Source organism: Homo sapiens, chromosome 14 (genome assembly GCF_000001405.40).
Source record: "Homo sapiens chromosome 14, GRCh38.p14 Primary Assembly".
Classification (NCBI taxonomy): Eukaryota; Metazoa; Chordata; class Mammalia; order Primates; family Hominidae; genus Homo; species Homo sapiens.
The window spans coordinates 96414148-96434043 of record NC_000014.9 but is presented as its reverse complement, the minus strand read 5'-3'; the positions used below and the strand labels follow the sequence as shown (position 1 = coordinate 96434043).

The following is a 19896-nucleotide window of genomic DNA, read 5'->3' as shown; positions in this document are numbered from 1 at the left end:
TGGCAAAGCAGAGCTATGTGACCTTTCAGACAGAGAATTCAAAATAGCTATATTGAGGAAACTCAAAGAAAATCAAGAAAACACAGAGAAGGAATTCAGAATTCCATCGGATGAATTTAACAAAGAGATTGAAATAATTTTTAAAAATCAAGCAGAAACTCCGGAGCTGAAAAATGCAATTGCCATACTGAAGAATGAATCAGAGTCCTTTAATAACAAAATTGATCAAAGAAGAAAGAATGAGCTTGAAAACCCCCTATTAAAAAATACAGTCAGAGGAAAAAAACAGAGCACCTCTTCTTCTCCAAAGGATCGCAGCTCCTTGCCAGCAACAGAACAAAGCTGGACGGAGAATGACTTTGACGAGTTGACAGAAGTAGGCTTCAGAAGGTCGGTAATAACAAACTTCTCCGAGCTAAAGGAGGATGTTCGAACACATCGCAAGGAAGCTAAAAACCTTGAAAAAAGATTAGATGAATGGCTAACTAGAATAAACAGTGTAGAGAAGACCTTAAATGACCTGAAGGAGCTGAAAACCATGGCACGAGAACTTCATGATGCATGCACAAGCTTCAGTAGCTGATTTGATCAAGTGGAAGAAAGGGTATCAGTGATTGAAGGTCAGATTAATGAAATGAAGTGAGAAGAGAAGTTTAGAGAAAAAAGAGTAAAAAGAAATGAACAAAGCCTCCAAGAAATATTGGACTATGTGAAAAGACCAAATCTATGTTTGATTGGCGTACCTGAAAGTGATGAGGAGAATGGAACCAAACTGGAAAACACTCTTCAGGATATTATCCAGGAGAACTTCCCCAACCTAGCAAGGCAGGCCAACATTCAAATTCAGGAAATACAGAGAACACCACAAAGATACTCCTCGAGAAGAGGAATCCCAAGACAAATAATTGTCAAATTCACCAAGATTGAAATGAAGGAAAAAATGTTAAGGGCAGCCAGAGAGAAAGGTCGAGTTACCCACAAAGGGAAGCCCATCAGACTAACAGCAGACCTCTCGGCAGAAACTCTACAAGGCAGAAGAGAGTGGGGGCCAATATTCAACATCATTCTGTCGCCCAGACTGGAGTGCAGTGGCGTGATCTCAGCTCACTGCAAGCTCCGCCTCCCAGGTTCACACCATTCTCCTGCCTCAGCCTCCCGAGTAGCTGGGACTACAGGCGCCTGCCAACATGCCCGGCTATTTTTTTTTTTTTTTTTGTATTTTTAGTAGAGATAGGGTTTCACTGTGTTAGCCAGGATGGTCTCATTCTCCTGACCTTGTGATCTGCCTGCCGTGGGCTCCCAAAGTGCTGGGATTACAGGCATGAGCCACCGCGCCTGGCCTCAACATTCTTAAAGAAAAGAATTTTCAACCCAGAATTTCATATCCAGCCAAACTAAGCTTCGTAAGTGAAGGAGAAATAAAATCCTTTACAGACAAGCAAATGCTGAGAGACTTTGTCACCACCAGGCCTGCCTTACAAGGGCTCAAGGAAGCCCTAAACATGGAAAGGAAAAACCGCTAACAGCCACTGCAAAAACATGCCAAATTGTAAAGACCATCGATGCTAGGAAGAAACTGCATGAACTAATGGGCAAAATAACCAGCTAACATCATAATGACAGGATCAAATTCACACATAACAATATTAACCTTAAATGCAAATGGGCTAAATGCCCCAATTAAAAGACACAGACTGGCAAATTGGATAAGGAGTCAAGACCCATCAGTGTGCTGTATTCAGGGGACCCATCTCATGTGCAGAGACACACATAGGCTCAAAATAAACGGCTGGAGGAAGATCTACCAAGCAAATGGAAAGCAAAAAAAAAAAAAAAAAAAAGCAGGGGTTGCAATCCTGGGGAGAGAGAGGATTACCTCTCTCATCACTCCTATTCAACGGAGCATAGGAAGTTCTGGCCAATCCGGCAAGAGAAAGAAATAAAAGGTATTCAATTAGGAAAAGAGGAAGTCAAATTGTACTGATAAAACAGACTTTAAATCAACAAAGATCAAAAGAGACAAAGAAGGCCATTACATAATGGTAAAGAGATCAATTCAACAAGAAGAGCTAACTATCCTAAATATATATGCACCCAATACAGGAGCACCCAGATTCATAAAGCAAGTCCTTAGAGACTACAAAGAGACTTAGACTCCTACACAATAATAATGGGAGGCTTTAACACCCCACTGTCAATATTAGACACATCAATGAGACAGAAGGTTAACAAGGATATCCAGGACTTGAACTCAGCTCTGCACCAAGCAGACATACTAGACATCTACAGAACTCTCCACAAACAAATCAAAAGAGTATACATTCTTCTTAGCACCACATTGCACTTATTCCAAAATTGACCACATAGTTGGAAGTAAAGCACTCCTCAGCAAATAGTAAAGAACAAAAATCACAAAAAACTGTCTCTCAGACCACAGTGCAATCAAATGAAAACGCAGGGTTAAGAAACTCACTCAAAACCGCATAACATGGCAACTGAACAACCTGCTCCTGAATGACTACTGGGTAAATAACGAAACGAAGGCATAAATAAAGATGTTCTTTGAAATCAATGAGAACAAAGACACAACGTACCAGAATCTCTGGGACACATTCAAAGCAGTGTGTAGAGGGAAATTTATAGCACTAAATACCCACAAGAGAAAGCAGAAAAGATCTAAAATTGACACCCTAACATCACAATTGAAAGAACTAGAGAAGCAAGAGCAAACAAATTCAAAAGCTAGCAGAAGACAAGAAACAACTAAGATTAGAGCAGAACTGAAGGAGACAGAGACACAAAAAAACCCTTCAAAAAATCAGTGAATCCAGGATCTGGTTTTTTGAAAAGATCAACAAAAGAGATAGACCGCTAGCAAGATTAATAAAGAAGAAAAGAGAGAAGAATCAAATAGATGCAATAAAAATGACAAAGGGGATATTGCCACCGATCCCACAAAAATGCAAACTACCACCAGAGAATAAACACCTCTACACAAATAAACTAGAAGAAATGGATAAATTCCTGGACACATACACCCTCCCAAGACTAAACCAGGGAGATGTTGAATCCCTGAATAGACCAATAACAGGCTCTGAAATTGAGGCAATAATTAATAGTCTACCAACCAAAAATAGTCCAGGACCAGACGGATTCACAGCTGAATTCTACCAGAGGTACAAAGAGGAGCTGGTACCATGCCTTCTGAAACGAATCCAATCAATAGAAAAAAAGGAAATCCTCCCTAACTCATTTTATGAGGCTAGCATCATCCTGATAACAAAGCCTGGCAGAGACACAACAAAAACAAGAGAATTTTAGACCAATATCCCTGATGAACATCGATATGAAAATAAAATACTGGCAAACCAAATCCAGCAGCACATCAAAAAGCTTATCCACCATGATCAAGTGGGCTTCATCCCTGGGATGCAAGGCTGGTTCAACATACACAAATCAATAAACGTAATCCATCACATAAACAGAACCAAAGACAAAAACCACATGATTATCTCAATAGATGCAGAAAAGGCCTTCGACAAAATTCAACAGCCCTGGCCAGGCGTGGTGGCTCACACCTGTAATCCCAGCACTTTGGGAGACAGAGGTGGGCGGATCACGAGGTCAGGAGATTATTGAGACCATCCTGGCTAACACAGTGAAACCCCGTCTCTACTAAAAATACAAAAAATTAGCCAGGCGTAGTGGCGGGCGCCTGTAGTCCCAGCTACTCGGGAGGCTGAGGCAGGAGAATGGCATGAACCCAGGAGGCGGAGCTTGCAGTGAGCCGAGATAGCACCACTGCACTCCAGCCTGGGTGACAGAGTGAGACTCCGTCTCAAAAAAAAAAAAAAAAAAAATTCAACAGCCCTTCTTGCTAAAAACTTTTAATAAACTAGGTATTGATGGAACGTATCTCAAAATAATAAGAGCTATTTATGACAAACCCACAGCCAATATCATACTGAATGGGCAAAAACTGGAAGCATTCCCTTTGAAAACTGGCACAAGACAGGGATGCCCTCTCTCACCACTCCTATTTGACGTAGTGTTGGAAGTTCTGACCAGGGCAATCAGGCAAGAGAAAGAAATAAAGGGTATTCAATTAGGAAAAGAGGAAGTCAAATTGTCCCTGTTTGCAGATGACATGATTATATATTTAGAAAACCCCATTGTCTCAGCCCAAAATCTCCTTAAGCTGATAAGCAACTTCAGCAAAGTCTCAGGATACAAAATCAATGTGCAAAAATCACAAGCATTCCTATACACCAATAACAGACAAACAGAGAGCCAAATCATGAGTGAACTCTCATTTGGAATTGCTTCAAAGAGAATAAAATACCTAGGAATCCAACTTACAAGGGATGTGAAGGACTTCTTCAAGGAGAACTACAAACCACTGCTCAACGAAATAAAAGAGGACACAAAAAATTGGAAGAACATTCCATGCTCATGGACAGGAAGAATCAATATCATGAAAATGGCCATACTGCCCAAGGTAATTTATAGATTCAATGCCATCCCCATCAATCTACCAATGACTTTCCTCACAGAATTGGAAAAAAATACTTTAAAGTTCATACGGAACCAAAAAAGAGCCCGCATTGCCAAGACAATCGTAAGCAAAAAGAACAAAGCTGGAGGCATCATGCTACCTGACTTCAAACTATACTATGAGGCTACAGTAACCAAAACAGCATGGTACTGGTACCAAAACAGATATATAGACCAATGGAACAGAACAGAGGCCTCAGAAATAACACCACACATCTACAACCATCTGATCTTTGACAAACCTGAGAAAAACAAGAAAAGGGGAAAGGATTCCCTATTTAATAAACAGTGCTGGGAAAACTGGCTAGCCATATCTAAAAGCTGAAACTGGATCCCTTCCTTACACCTTATACAAAAATTAATTCAAATGAATTAAAGACTTAAATGTTAAATCTAAAACCATAAAAACCCCAGAAGAAAACCTAGGCAATACCATTCAGGACAGAGGCATGGGCAAGGACTTCCTGATTAAAATACCAAAAGCAATGGCAACAGAAGCCAAAATAGACAAATGGGATCTAACTAAACTAAAGAGCTTCTGCACAGCAAAATAAACCGCCATCAGAGTGAACAGGCAACCTACGGAATGGAAGAAAATTTTTGTAATCTACCCATCTGACAAAGGGCTAATATCCAGAATCTACAAAGAACTCAAACAAATTTACAAGAAAAAATCAAACAACCCCATCAAAAAGTGGGCGAAGGATATGAACAGACACTTTACAAAAGAAGACATTTATGTAGCCAATGGACACATGAAAAAATGCTCATCATCACTGGCCATCAGAGAAATGCAAATCAAAACCACAATGAGATACCATCTCACACCAGTTAGAATGGCAATCATTAAAAAGTCAGGAAACAACGGTGCTGGAGAGGATGTGGAGAAATAGGAACACTTTTACACTGTTGGTGGGACTGCAAACTAGTTCAACCATTGTGGAAGACAGTGTGGCGATTCCTCAAGGATCTAGAACTAGAAATAGCATTTGACCCAGCCATTCCATTACTGGGTATATACCCAAAGGATTATAAATCATGCTGCTATAAAGACACATGCACACATATGTTTACTGCGGCACTATCTACAATAGCAAAGACTCGGAACCAACTCAAATGTCCATCAATGATAAACTGGATTAAGAAAATGTGGCACATATACACCATGGAATACTATGCAGCCATAAAAAAGGATGAGTTCATGTCCTTTGTAGGGACATGGATGAAGCTGGAAACCATCATTCTGAGCAAACTATTGCAAGGACAGAAAACCAAACACCACATGTTCTCACTCATAAGTGGGAATTGAACAATGAGAACACTTGGACACAGGGTGGGGAACATCACACACTGAGGCCTGTCGTAAGGTGGGGGGATGGGGGAAGGATAGCATTAGGAGAAATACCTAATGTAAATGACGAATTAATGGGTGCAGCAAACCAACATGGGACATGTATACATATGTAACAAACCTGCCCATTGTGCACATGTACCCTAGAACTTAAAATAATAAAAAAAAGAGTAAACAGGTTTTCAAAGCTCTCTACAGGCAAACTTATGCAATTATCCCTTTAATTTTTATCTTCATATATATGTGCATGATCTACTTGTTTCTGAGTATAAATAAAACCATATGTTTTTGGCAGAAATATATATATATAGTCAGAGGAGACAAAAAAAGAAAAACAATGAAACATGCCTATAGGATCTAGAAAATAGCCTCAAAAGGGCACCTCTAAGAGTTATTGGCCTTAAAGAGGAAGTCGAGTAAGAGATAGGTGTAGACAGTTTATTCAAAGGGACAATAGTGGAGAACTTCTCAAATCTAGAGAAAGATATCAACAATCCAAGTACAAGAAGGTTACAGAACAGTATGCAGATTTGACTCAAACAACATGATATGGCTTGGGTCTGTGTTCCCACCCAAATCTCACGTCGAATTGTAATCTCCAATGTTGGAAGAGGGGCCTTGTGGGAAGTGATTGGCTCATGGAGCCATATTTACCCCTTGCCGTTCTTGTAATAGTGAGTGAGTTCTCATGAGTTCTGGTTGTTTATAAAAGTGTGTAGCAGCTGCCCCTTCACTCTCTCTTCCTCCTTCTCAGGCCATGTAATATGTGTCTGCTTCCCCTTTATCTTCTGCCATGGTTGTAAGTTTCCTGAGGCCTCCCCAAACATGCTTCCTGTACAGCCTGTGGAACTGTGCTGTGAGTCAATTAAACCAATTTTTTTTTGTTTGTTTTTGAGACGGAGTTTCGCTCTTGTTGCCCAGGCTGGAGTGCAATGGAGTGATCTCAGCTCACTGCAACCTCTGCCTTCCAGGTTCAAACGATTCTCCTGCCTCAGCCTCCCGAGTAGCTGGGATTACAGGCATGCACTACCACGCCTGGCTAATTTTGTATTTTCAGTAGAGACGGGGTTTCTCCATGTTGGCCAGGCAGGTCTCAAACTTCCAACCTCAGGTGATCTGCCCGCCTCCACCTCCCAAAGTGCTGGGATTACAGGCGTGAGCCACCACACCCGGCCTAAACCTCTTTTCTTTATAAATTACCCAGTCTCAGTTAGTTCTTTATAGCAGTGCGAAAATGGACTAATACACAAGACAACCTATAGGCATATAATAATCAAACTTGCAAAGGTAAAGGATTAAAAAAGGATCCAAAAAGCAGCAAGAGAAAAGAAACAAATAACATACAATGGAGCTCTAATACATCTAGCAGCAGACTTTTCAGTGGAAAACCTTACAGGCCAGGAAAGAGTGGCATGACATATTGAAAAGTGCTGAGGGAAAAAAACTTTCACCTAGAATAGTATATCTGGTGAAAATCTCCTTCAAGCATGGAGGAGAAATACTTTCCCAGACAAACAAAAGCTGAAGGATTTCATCAATACCAGACCTGTCCTACAAGAAACACTAAAGGGAGTACTTCAGTCAGAAAGAAAAAGACATTAATGAACAATAATCACCTGAAGGTACAAAACTCACTGGTAATAGGAAGTACACAGAAAAACAAAATATTAGAACACTTTAACGGTGGTGTGTAAACTATCTCATTCTAAGTAGGAAGACTATACAATGAACCAAAAAAAATAATAACTACAACAGCTTTTTATGACACAGTACAATAAGATATAAATAGAAACATCAAAAAGTTTAAAAATTGGGGGATGGGAGTAAGGCATAGTGTTATTAGTTTTCTTTTTGCTGGTTTCTTTATGCCAAGAGGGTTAGATTGTTATCCGACTAAAATAATGGGTTATAAGATAGTATTTGCAAGCCTTATTGTAACCTCAAACTAAAAAACTTACAATGGTTGCACAAAAAATAAAAAGCAAGAAACTAAATCATATCACCAGAGAAAATCACCATCCCTACAGCAAGGTAGGAAGGAAAGAAAGAAGGAAGATAAGACAATAAAACAACTAGAAAACAAATAACAAAAGGCAGGAGTAAGTCCTTACTTACCAATAATAACATTGAATGTAAGTGGACTAAATTCTCTAATCAAAAGACATAGACTGGCTGAATTGATGAAAAAAACAAGACACATTGATCTGTTGCCTACAAGAAACACACTCTACCTGTAAAGACACACATAGACTGAAAATAAAGGGATGGAAAAAGATATTCCATGCCAATGGAAACCAAAAAGAAGCAGGAGTCACTATACTTATATCAGACAAAATAGTTTTCAAGACAAACTACGGCTGGGCACGGTGGCTCACACCTGTAACCCCAGCACTTTGGGAGGCCGAGGCAGGTGAATCACCTGAGGTCAGGAGTTCAAGACCAGCCTGGCCAGCATGGTGAAACCCTGTCTCTACTAAAAAATACAAAATTTAGCCAGGCGTGGTGGCACATGCCTGTAATTCCAGCTACTCAGGAGGCTGAGGCAGGAGAGTCATTTGAACTTGGGAGGCAGGGGTTGCAGTGACCCGAGATCATGCCACTGCACTCCAGCCTACGCAACAGAGCAAGACTCTGTCTCAAAAAAAAAAAAAAAAAAAATCAGTGTGACTCATTAAAAGATGAAAGCAATTTTGGTATCAGGCAATTCAGGACTATTTTGGCAACTTGTATAATTATTAGGGTCTCCTCTTTTGCCTCAAAATACTGAATAGAAGTCTACCTTTTGTGTATGTAATCTTGTATATGAATGTGCTGGCTGAGGATGTGATAACAGTAGATAAACCACTTGACAACCAGCCTCTGGAGTGCATAGACTGTGTTTGCTTTATCGATGGCTGTGAGGGCAGCTCCTCATCACAGTGCCTGGGCCATAATCGGATCTAACTGGACATTAGTTAAATGAATGTGTTAAATGATTATTTTCAAGGGTCTATCTCCCAGATAAAAACATTAGCATCACTGATCAAAAAAGATCATTGGGATGACCAAATTGGCCAAATCAATCTTATTAATGGTGTAGAAAAGAGTGAGTAAGAAAGTTGGGGATAAAAATAATAGATTTTTACAACGAAATTTTGATTTTATTATTTAAATGACAAGTGTAAGGTTTTGTAATAAAAATATATTAATATGATCATATTTCTCATTTTAGACTGTTATTCAGTTAAATCAGCTTTATATGTGTAAGCATACATTTTCCACCTGTAAATTAAACATAAATGATCAAGAAATCACGGGTTCCAATAAAATAACATAGTTATGGAATTTAGAACTGGAATAAATTTAAACCATCTAATCTAGCCCGTTTACTTATTTTAAGCCCAGAAGTTTAATAACACGGCTAAGGTCATAAGTTAATGGACAGAAAAAGGGCTAGAATTCCTAATTTCCTGTTGTTTCTTCCAATGTTTGATGCTCACAGTGTTTGTATTGGTAAAGTGTTTTTTATAGGACCGAAGTTCCTATGGTAATATCCTCCGAGACCACTAGGTGTCATCTTAGAACTATTATTAGCGTTCACTTAGCGCTGGTCTTCCACTAATGGGAACAATGTAATGACACTTTCAGAGGGTTTGGGGTTTTCTCCAAGTTATATGAGGATGATAGTAGTACCTACCTCACAGAATTCTGGGAATTGTTTATGAGACTCTTGAAGATGACATGAGATACCATGAGTAAAACACTGAGAACTCATGAGATACTACGAGTAAAACACAGATGACATAAGATACCATGAGTAAAATACTGAGAACACAGTAAGCCCTCTGTAATTTTTCAGCTGGCGGAGACCCCCGTGTCGCCGCTGCCGCCGGCGCCTGGCCTCCCGCGGCACTCCCGGCTGCGCGCTCCGCTCGGCCCCGCCACGCGGGTGAACCTCAGACAGCGGTCCGGGCCCTGGAGCCTTCAGGAAGTGGACGAACAGCCGCAGCACCCGCTGCATGTCACCTGCACGGGGTGGCGGTGGACGAGCGGAGCACCGTGCCCGATCCCACCCAGGTGAAGAACAGACCCACCAGCATTTCGTGGGATGGTCTTGATTTAGGGAAACTCTACACCTGGGTCTTGACAGACCCGGATGCTCCAAGCAGGAAGGATCCCCAATACAGGGAATGGCATCATTTCCTGGTGGTCCACATGAAGGGCAGTGACATCAGCAGTGGCACAGTCCTCTCCGGATTATGTGGGCTCGGGGTCTCCCAAGGCACAGGCCGCTGAAATGTGACGAGCCCATCCTCAGCAACCGCTCCGGAGACCACCGTGGCAAATTCAAGGTGGCGTCCCCCCGTAAAAAGTACGCGCTCGGGGTCCCGGTGGCCGGCACGTGTTACCAGGCCGAGTGGGACGACTATGTGCCCAAATTGTAGGAGCAGCTGTCTGGGAAGTAGGGGGCAGCTCGGCGACCTGAACCGTCCTGGAGGCCCCGAGCTGTGTTCTCCAGTTCAGTGCTGCATGTACCATAGCTTTCTCCTCTTCCCACTCCCCTTTGGACAGACAAGACCTGAGCACTGAGATGGTGGCTTAGGGTGACTTTTCCTGCTGCCTGGCCTTTATCATTCTAGTCACTCACTCTGTTTTATGTTTTGATCAATTTTGAACTTCATTTTGGGGGATATTTTGGTATTGTGATGGGGTCATCAAATTGTTATTATGAAAATAGCAACCCAGAATTTAAAGAAAAAATTTGGCAGAAATAGACCAGGTCTACAGTAATAGAGCAAAGCATCAAAGAATCTTTAAGGGAGGTTAAAAATAAATAAATAAGGATTGGTTGCCTCTGCCTTTGTGATCCTGAGACCAGAACTGTAGCAGTGTGTTTTTATGGCACCATCGCTAGACAACCAGAGGCTCGCAATGAGGCTCAGCCCCAACACGGGCCTCTCAGTTGCCTTAATAGGCGTCAGTATCTCACTCTGGTCCCTTTAAAGAGCAATCCTGGAAAAAGGAGTAGGGAGAGTGGCTTTGCTGTTGTTGGGGCATGGCCCTGTAGATGGGCAGCAGTACTAGCTGACCGCTTATCAGGAATCCCTACATCTGTGTCTGTCAAATTGATTGCTCTTCATGGGGGTAAGAAAAGCTGGTCTGGAGTTGCTGAATGTTGTGTTAATTCTGCTGTTTGCTGATAGTTGAATAAAAATAAAAACCCTGAATGAAAAATCATCATCATCATAATTTTTCAGCTGTCACTACTTATTCATTGTCAGGGCATTCCCATCATCTATTCTGAAGAAAGGCAAGAGAAATAAAATAATTTTATAATGGACATGTCAAAATGATGAATTTTGCTGCTATAGGGCGACCCCCTGAAACTATTGCTACAGAATAAAAGATGAAATGCTCCTGACTATTGTAAATACAAAATTGCATGCAGAATTGTGTAAAGACAATGCCAGGTTGGGCTGCCAGAATGAGCCAACAGCGCGTGATGTGCTTCCCCCTGCAGAGAGCCTATGAATGGAAGTGCAGTCAGGGAGGTTTCACATCACCAAGATTCCTATCCCAGAAAAGCAGATGTTCATAGCTCTGGGAATGGAATGCGACCCTTGTGGGGAGCCTATAAATGGACACATGAGGGGCGCCTGTCCATATGGATAAGATAGGACTATAAACACCCTCATCTTGCCATGGCTCTTCTAGGCCTCTTCAGGGTTAAGGCATACTCCCTTCTGAGAATTTCTGGTCTAACCAGTTGTCTAGCTTCATGTCTCCTATCTATGGATTGTTTGTAACCAGCTTTGGCTGCAACTGTTACTGCTGATTAATACCTTGCTAATCATAGGTTATGGAAAGACTGTGTTTCTGTTTTAAGGCTCTGTTAGAAATTACTGATGCACACACTATATTGTAAATTCTTATCCCTGTATACTGTACTTCTGCATACAGATGTTATGTTAAAGAATTACTTCATCCCCATGTGACCATCTCACCTCATAATCAAATGACCCTAAATCCCTCACTAACCTATCCCTGCCCTCACTAAACTTAATAATAAATGCTGGTATATCCAGTGCATTGTTGGCACCACGGGACCAGAAGGCGGTGACCCCCCTGGACCCAGCTTTCACTATCTTGTGTGTGTCTATTATTTCTCAACCTGCCAATCCGCCTGGGAACAAAGAGATAGCCCCTTTGCATTGCGGGCTGCTGGCCAGATACTGCAATAGCTGCAACAGAAGGGGCCGGGCACAGTGGCTCATGCCCGTAATCCCAACACTTTGGGAGTTCCAGGCGGGCGGATCACGAGTTCAGGAGATCGAGACCATCCTGGCTAACATGGTGGAACTCTGACTCTACTAAAAATACAAAAAATTAGCCGAGCATGGTGGCACGTGCCTGTAGTCCCAGCTACCCGGGAGGCTGAGGCAGGAGAATGATTTGAACCCAGGAGGCAGAGGTTGCAGTGAGCCAAGATCGCACCACTGCACTCCAGCCTGGGTGACAGAGCGAGACTCCATCTCAAAAAAAAAAAAAAAAGCTACGAGAATGTCTTAATGACCAGTGAGTGACCAAGGATGTGTCAAGATAAATTCTATTGAATGATGGGGTTTTGGATTCCAAAGAAAAAAAGCGAACCCAGCAGGCTTTGGTGGCTGATGGCTCTCAGACTGAATCTCAGCTCCACGCCAGGAAATGCGCTGAGGACATCAATGTGCGTAGATAACAGCCTTGTTAGAAGGAGTAGATGAGTCAAGGCTGAGAAGCGCTCAGGACAGTGCTCAGTAAATCCTAGTTATGTGACCTTGGGCAAATTATTTAACCTCTGGAAGCTCCCATCTCCTTATTCATAAGAGGAGGTTAATAGGCACTTTTCAGAGTTGTTTTAAGAAACAAATGAGATAGATTCTGGGAACAGGGAAAATGTGGTTCCCCTGTTCCCCATTACAACTCTGAGTTATTTGCCTCTTTTGGGCCAAACAGCTTTTCAGACACACAGACCCCTTTGTGGGTGATGGCTCAAGCTCGGCTGGGTGGTGATGCAGGGCTTTCAACCCAGTGTGCTGGACCAGAACCTGGGCCAGGACCCCTAAGGACAGTGTATCCTGGGGTGAGCCTAAAGCTCAGACATCCGTGGGGTAAGTCTCAGGAAACCACACAAAGAGATGTTTAAAGACTTCAGATGATGTCCATGTTCCACTATGCCAGACTTACCTTTTTTCCAAATTTGAGAACCATTTTTTCAGCATTTATGTGGTCCAGAAAATTAGGATGAGACTTTCTTCTTCGATAATCTTCTTCAGTGAATGGAACCTCAGAATCCTCCTATTATAAGAAAGAAAGAAAAGGTACAGACTTGGTGAATTAGAGATGTGTGACTTCTAAGGCTAAAGATATGTTCCTTTAAGCTCAAATAAAGCTTAAAACTACCGCTTGATTTATTTTTTTATTTTTGAGACAGGGTCTCGCTGTGTTGCCCAGGCTGGTCTTGAACTCTTGGGCTCAAGCAATCCTCCTGCCTCGGCCTTCCAAAGTGCTGGGATTATAGGCATGAACCACCGAGTCTGGCCATACTGCTTATTTTATTTTATTTTATTTTATTATATTTCATTTCATTTCATTTTTATTTGAGATGGAGTCTTTCTCTGTCGATGATGATAGTAGCATCCTCCTAGACTGGATGGAGTACAGTGGCACAATCCTGGCTCACTGCAACCTCCACCTCCCAGGTTCAAGTGATTCTCCTGCCTCAGCCTCCCAAGTAGCTGAGATTACAGGTGCGTGCCACCACACCTGGCTAATTTTTGTATTTTTAGTAGACAGGTTTTTGCCATGTTGGCCAGGCTGGTATGGAACTCCTGACCTCAGGTGATCTGCCCACCTCAGCCTCCCAAAGTGCTGGGATTACAGGCGTGAACCACCACATCCAACCATACCACTTATTTGAATAGTGATTTACTCTTCTTAAAAATGCTTTAGGAGGCCAGGCGCAGTGGCTCATGCCTGTAATCCCAGCACTTTGGGAGGCCAAGGTGGGCGGATTACCTGACGTCTGGAGTTCGAGACCAGCCTGGCTAACATGATGAAACCCCGTCTCTACTAAAAATATGAAAATTAGCCAGGCGTGGTGGCAGGCACGAGACCAGCCTGGCTAACATGATGAAACCCCGTCTCTGCTAAAAATACAAAAATTAGCCAGGTGTGGTGGCAGGCACCTGTAATCCCAGCTACTCGGGAGGCTGAGGCAGGAGAATTGCTTGAACCCAGGAGGCGGATGTTGCAGTGAGCCGAAATCGCGCCATTGCACTCCAGCCTGGGGGAGAAGACCAAGACTTTGTCTCAAAAAAAAAAAAAAAAGAAAAGAAAGAAAAAAAAATGCTTTAGGAGACAAATTTTATAATTTAAATTTAATCTAAACAAAATTAAAAACTAAAAGTCTTTCACAGAGATGGTAGCAGGTTGCCACTGAGATTCCATAAAGGTATTAATATTAAATATAATTTTTTTTTGGTAGAGACAGGGCCTTGCTCTCTTGCCCAGGCTGGAGTGCAGTGGCCTGATCATAGCTTACTGCAGCCTTGAAATCCTGGATTCAAGTGATCCTCCTGCCTTAGCCTCCCAAGTAGCTGGGACTATATAGGCACACACCTCCATGCCCAGCTCATTTATTTTATTTTTTTGTAGAAACAGAGTCTCCAATTGTTACCCAGGCTGGTCTCCACCTCCTGGCTTTAAGCAATCCCCCCTCCTTGGCCTCGCAGAATGGTGGGATTACAGGCATGAGCCACCTCGCCCCAGCCTGTAGTTTTATTTTTTTTAACCTAAATTGTTTTTTTCTTTTTTTTTCTTTGCCACATGGGCCCTCCCCAAAATAAATAACATGTTAAAAAGGACATTGCATGTGCAGGTCACTGACTCTGGCTTTAAAAATTGGTTTCACTGGTTAAGATTAAGTACGTCCTGGGAATGAGGAATTAAAAACATTTCTTGACAGTTCACTGACCTGTCCCTCATATTCAGTCTCCCCACAACCCACAGCCTGTGCAGTCCCATAGAGGGATGCAACCAAAATAACTATGTTAAAACCTACTGGAATCAGAAGAAATAATTGAGAGCCATGCAACAGTGTGATTTGGCAAAAATCCTTCCAAATTCAGAGATCCGTGTTGGAGCAGGGTTTCAGGGTTTTAAAAATATGGTGTTCAGTATGGAACCTTTCAATCACAATACATTGGTCTAAGTTAAATAACCAATCCAAAGCTTTTGAGCCCAGAGTTTACAAGGAAACAACTGAAGAGGCAGGAGAAACACAATGAAAATCCTACTGAGGCTAGGCGAGGTGGCCCATGCCTGTAATCCCAGCACTTTGGGAGGCTGAGGTGGGTGGATCACTTGAGGCCAGGAGTTCAAGACCAGCCTGGACAACATGGTGAAACCCTGTCTCTACTAAAAATACATAAATTAGCTGGGCTTGGTGGCAGGTGCCTGTAATCCCAGCTACTCGGGAGGCTGAGGCAGGAGAATCGCTTGAACCTGGGAGGCTGAGGTTGCAGTGAGCCGAGACTGCACAACTGCACTCCAGCTTGGGCGACAGAGCAAAAATTCTTTTCAAAAAACAAAAACAAAAACAAAAACAAAAAGCCCTACTGAGGTAAGAGTACAGTTGCTCCTGAGAAAATGACTGGAGCCAAGCTGGGAATTGGTAGGGGATGCGGTAGGTGAGAGCCAGATTATCAGGGTTTCTGAGCCACACTGAGGAGTTCAGATTCATTCCAATAGCAATAAAAGGCTATGGAAGGATTTGAAGCCTTTTTTTTTTTTTTTAGACAAGGTCTCACTCTGTTGCCCAGGGTGGGGCGCAGTGGCACAATCACAGCGCACTGCAGCCTCAACCTCCTGGGAACAGCTGAGTCCACCTAGACTCCTGAGTAGTTGGGACTACAGGTGCTTGCCACCATGCCAGGCTAATAAAAAAAAATTGTTTTGTGTAAAGGCAGGGTCTCATTGTGATGTCCAGACTGGTCTCAAACTCCTGGTCTCAAGCAATCCTCCTGCCTCGGCCTCCCAAAGTGCTGGAATTACAGGCTTGAGCTACTAAGCCCAGTTGGGTTTTTCACTTTTAAAGCAGGACTGCAAAGTGATCTGAATTTCATATTTAATTTAATATTTTGATACATATTGTAATATATCATAGTGCATATATTTGGGGTATATGTAATATTCCAATACATGTATTTCTTTCTTTTAGCCACCTGGTTTGCTATTGATTGATACGTGTATTTTTAACTCGATATATCACCCTTGTACAGATTCTGGAGGTACCTGTGATATTCTGATACATGTTTTTTATTGATATATCAGAGTTGTGAATGACATTTCAACAAAATGGCTGAGGTGGTACTATGGAGGATGGATTGGAGGGCGCAAAGGCAGGCCCCAGCTGCACAACCACTTGAGTAGTCCAAGAAGCTAAAGGCTGAGGCTGGCTAGAAGGTTGCCATAGATACAAAGAGAGCAAAGTGTGTTTATGATACATTTCGGATGATGAATGAACAGAATTTACCAATGAGTTGACTGCTGGGAGGAGGGGAGTGAGGCTAGAGCAACTGAGATGCTAGGAGATGTCCTTGGGAGAAAGCTGGGAGAATGAGTTGTTGAGGGGAAGATCCACTTCAATTCTGTGTACACAGTAGATACCTAGTGAATACATATTGCACAATTAACTGTCCTCGTAAACAGGTCTAGTGGCCTACATGTAGGTTTGCCAGGTAAAACACAGGACATCCAGCTAAATTTGAATTTCAGATAAACAAATGACTAAATTTTTAGTACAAGCTTGTCTTCATATTGCACAGGGTATAGGTATGCTAAACAATTATTCACTGTCTATCTGAAATTCAGATCTAACTGGGTGTCCTGTATTTTCACTTGCCAGCTCCAGTCTGGAAACTGTGTAGTCAGCTTTGCCTTCAGGATGAATTGAGTCCTGGCCCCTCTGTAGCCCTGGCTCACATGGCATGCTGGGCCAGGTCACCTAACCCACCCTCCTTGCTCCCTGTGACTGGCCCAACACCCCTCTTCTGGATTTGCCCTACCCTTTGTCTTCAACGGCTGCCAGGGAAATGGTCACATTCCATGAGGTGAACCATAAGAGAACCATAGGTTGGATGGCCAATCTCTTCCCTGACATTTTGAGAAAGTGACTGAGAGAAAAGGAAGATCAATCTCTCTCTGGCCAGTGGCACTGGAGCCCATAAATTCCAACCAGAGGGGGCCGCAGGTTCTGAGCTGTCATTCCTTGATTCCTGGTTGGGACAGAGATCTGTTTGTGTATGATGCACCTTTGCGACCAGTTGCTAGGCTGTGTTCCCTTTAGTCCTTAAATTTCACTTGTTACAAACACAACAAATAAAGTGTATTTTGAACCCAAACCTTTAATATGGGTTTTAGTTCCTCCCAACTGTTTGCATCATTTGTCTTTCCAGTAAAGGGTAAGTGGTTGACCTTTCCTTTAGCAGGGGTTACAGCCGTGATCCTTTCATTGTTATATTATATATGGATGGCTGTCAGCATTTCTGGAAACTCAGCCTGCCTTACTACTATCTTGTTATAATTACTAAGCTCATTTAGAGGCTTCCTCTTTCTAGGAGGTAAAGAACATAGTCTACAGAGTAATCTCCCCTGCCCTTTATCAGGCCAATGGGCAAATCTGTTTTCTTGTAACACTCTAGCACTCTGTTGGATTCTCTTTTTTTTTTTTTGAGACAGAGTCTCACTCTGTCTCCAGGCTGGAGTGCAGTGGCACCATCCTGGCTCACTGCAACCTCTGCCTCCTGGCTTCAAGCAATTCTCCTGCCTCGGCCTCCTGAGTATCTGGGATTAAAGGCATACACCACCACACCCAGCTAATTTTTTTTGTATTTTTAGTAAAGACGGGGTTTCACCATGTTGGCCAGGCTAGTCTTGAACTCCTGGCCTCAGGTGATCCACCTGCCTCGGCTTCCCAATGTGCTAGGATTACAGGCATGAGCCACTGTGCCCGGCCTGGATTCTCTTTTTAATTGGTGATTGTGTTTGGTTGCCCACGTGGATCATTTGGTGGACTCCGTTTCTCCCTGGTTATTACGTGTGACAATCAGAGCCCGTCGGCCCTTGTTCTGGAGTATTTGGTTGAATCAGGGTCACCTCTGGGTTATATCTCTTTACTCACACATACAGAAACAAGTACATAGCTAGACTTTAAAAACAAACAGGTTCTAAGGGAAAAACCAACCCCAATATATATTAAGATTGTCCTATTATTAAAATTGATACCTTAATTATTTAATTAATGTATTAAATTAATTTAATTAATTAATGTATTAAATTAATTTAATTAATTAATGTATTAAATTAATTAATTTAATTAATGTATTAAAATTTATTAATAATAAATTAATATTTACCCTTCATTTGTAACAAAACTGATTTTTGTGCAGTTTTAATCCATTTGGATGCTTTTGGCTACCAGCAACAGAAAACCAAACTCAAAAAGACCTACGCACTGGGAAAATCATCTCCCATAAGTAGTGTTCCTAAGTCGGGTGGCTCCAGGCACCATGGGCTGGCCTGCCTCTGCTGTTTTTTCTTTGTTTTTCTTTTTTCCAAGAGTTTACTTTTAAATGTACAGTAGACTCCAAGACAACACTTCATTCCAGCTATAGGTGGCAAAAGATGTGATGCAGGGAATCCAGATGTTCAAATATACATGGAATCAAGGGTCACCATCGCCTCAGGCACAAGGAACAGCTTACTGCTTGCCAGATTTCCTTTTTTCTTTTCTTTTCAAAATATTTATTTATTTATTTATTTATTTTTAGAGATGGTGTCTTGCTGTGTTGCTCAGGCTGGTCTTGAACTCCTGGGCTCAAGTGATCCTCCCACCTTAGCCTTCCAATGTGCTGGGGTTACAGGTGTGAGCAACCATGCCCAGCCAATTGCCAGATTTCTTAATTCCACCTGTGGTGAGGGGTCCCTTCCCCATGGCCTTTGCTTTTAGCCCCTCAAATTTCTTCTGCTCCTCTTTTTGTTTCTGCTTGAAAGCCTTATCTTCAGCCATGTTCGGTCATTCACACCTGTAATCCCAGTACTTTGGGAGGCCAAGGCAGGTGGGTTAATTGAGCCCAGAAATTTGAGACCAGCCTGGGCAACATGGCAAAACCCTGTCACTACAAAAACATTTTAAAAATTAGCTGGGCATGGCGGCAGGTGCCTGTAGTCCCAGCTAATCAGGAGGCTAAGGCCAGAGAATCACTTGAGCCCAGGAGGTGGAGGTTGCAGTGAGCTGAGCCCAGGTTGCACCACTGCACTCCAGCCTGCACCACACTAAAAAAAAAAAAAAAAAAAAAAAGAAGGAATCCTTATCTTCTTCAACCTCCATCCGTCTTCTTGGCCTGTTTCTTGGGCTGTTTTAGGGACTTTTTCTTGCCACCTTCGTGGCCAGACATAGCGCCTACCACACCTTCCCCAGGCCCTGCACTGGAAACTGGCTCTGCTGTTCTGATGCCTTCTGAGCTCTGCCTCCTATGTGTGGCCTTCCTTTTCAGGATCACAGCAAGACTAGTAGCAGCAGTCCAAGCTTCACATCCAGATATGACAACATCCACAAAGAAAGAAAGCCCGTGTCTTCCTTGAAGTCTCTCCTAATCAGGGATGAGCCCTTCCTGGGAGTCTCCTGGCCATCTTTCCTCTGTGCCAGAGACTAAACCAGACTGATTTCCTGGATGCAGTTAGACTACATATTCCGGGCTCCTCAGCTATGGGCTGAGTTTTAGTCAAAGAAATTTGCAGAAGTGATGAGCATCTCTTCCAAGCCTGGTTCATAAAGCTTCCCATGCATAATCTTTTGTGTTTCTCTCCCCTCCACAGGCCTGATGCAAGTGTGCACGACAGCCCCAGAGGTAATTCTGGAAGGCGTTGGAGCCATCCAACAGAAGGAGCCTGGATCTTGAATCAGAGTT

General features: G+C 42.6%; 2 protein-coding genes and 1 pseudogene across 11 annotated transcripts in view, besides 1 other annotated feature; 1 reads left to right on the top strand and 2 right to left on the bottom strand.

Moving 5' to 3' along the window:
• The window catches only part of AK7 (adenylate kinase 7), a 97300-nt gene that overhangs the window by 55384 nt on the left and 22020 nt on the right, over positions 1 to 19896 (bottom strand). For all 10 annotated transcript variants that reach the window (XM_006720021.3, NM_152327.5, NM_001350888.2 and 7 more), the window contains exon 5: positions 13112 to 13222. In XM_006720021.3, the coding sequence (XP_006720084.1) occupies positions 13112 to 13222 (111 nt within the window). The remainder of the gene's footprint in view (positions 1 to 13111; positions 13223 to 19896) is intronic.
• Positions 6601 to 6720: an enhancer, noted in NCBI's record as "active region_8986". NCBI's record gives its function as "activates an Ori minimal core promoter by ATAC-STARR-seq in GM12878 lymphoblastoid cells {active_cell/tissue: GM12878}" and the evidence as "EXISTENCE:reporter gene assay evidence [ECO:0000049][PMID:35858748]".
• Positions 9747 to 11116, top strand: PEBP1P1 (phosphatidylethanolamine binding protein 1 pseudogene 1; annotated as a pseudogene).
• Positions 16512 to 19383, bottom strand: LOC124903276 (translation machinery-associated protein 7-like). The gene is made up of 3 exons (XM_047432025.1): positions 19311 to 19383; positions 18848 to 18985; positions 16512 to 16594 (listed from the first exon to the last, which is right to left on the bottom strand). The coding sequence occupies exons 1-3, from the start codon at positions 19381 to 19383 to the stop codon at positions 16512 to 16514; spliced, it is 294 nt and encodes a 97-aa protein (XP_047287981.1).

Bases quoted from the DNA above. Each gene is read 5' to 3' on its own strand.
- LOC124903276 (XM_047432025.1), bottom strand. From the start codon at position 19,383: ATGTCTGGCCACGAAGGTGGCAAGAAAAAGTCCCTAAAACAGCCCAAG. The intron at 18,986-19,310 runs GTTGAAGAAGAT...ACATGGCTGAAG, and splicing joins GGCCAAGAAGACGGATGGAG to ATAAGGCTTTCAAGCAGAAA. The intron at 16,595-18,847 runs GTAACCCCAGCA...TGTATTCACTAG, and splicing joins GGGCATGGTTGCTCACACCT to GTATCTACTGTGTACACAGA.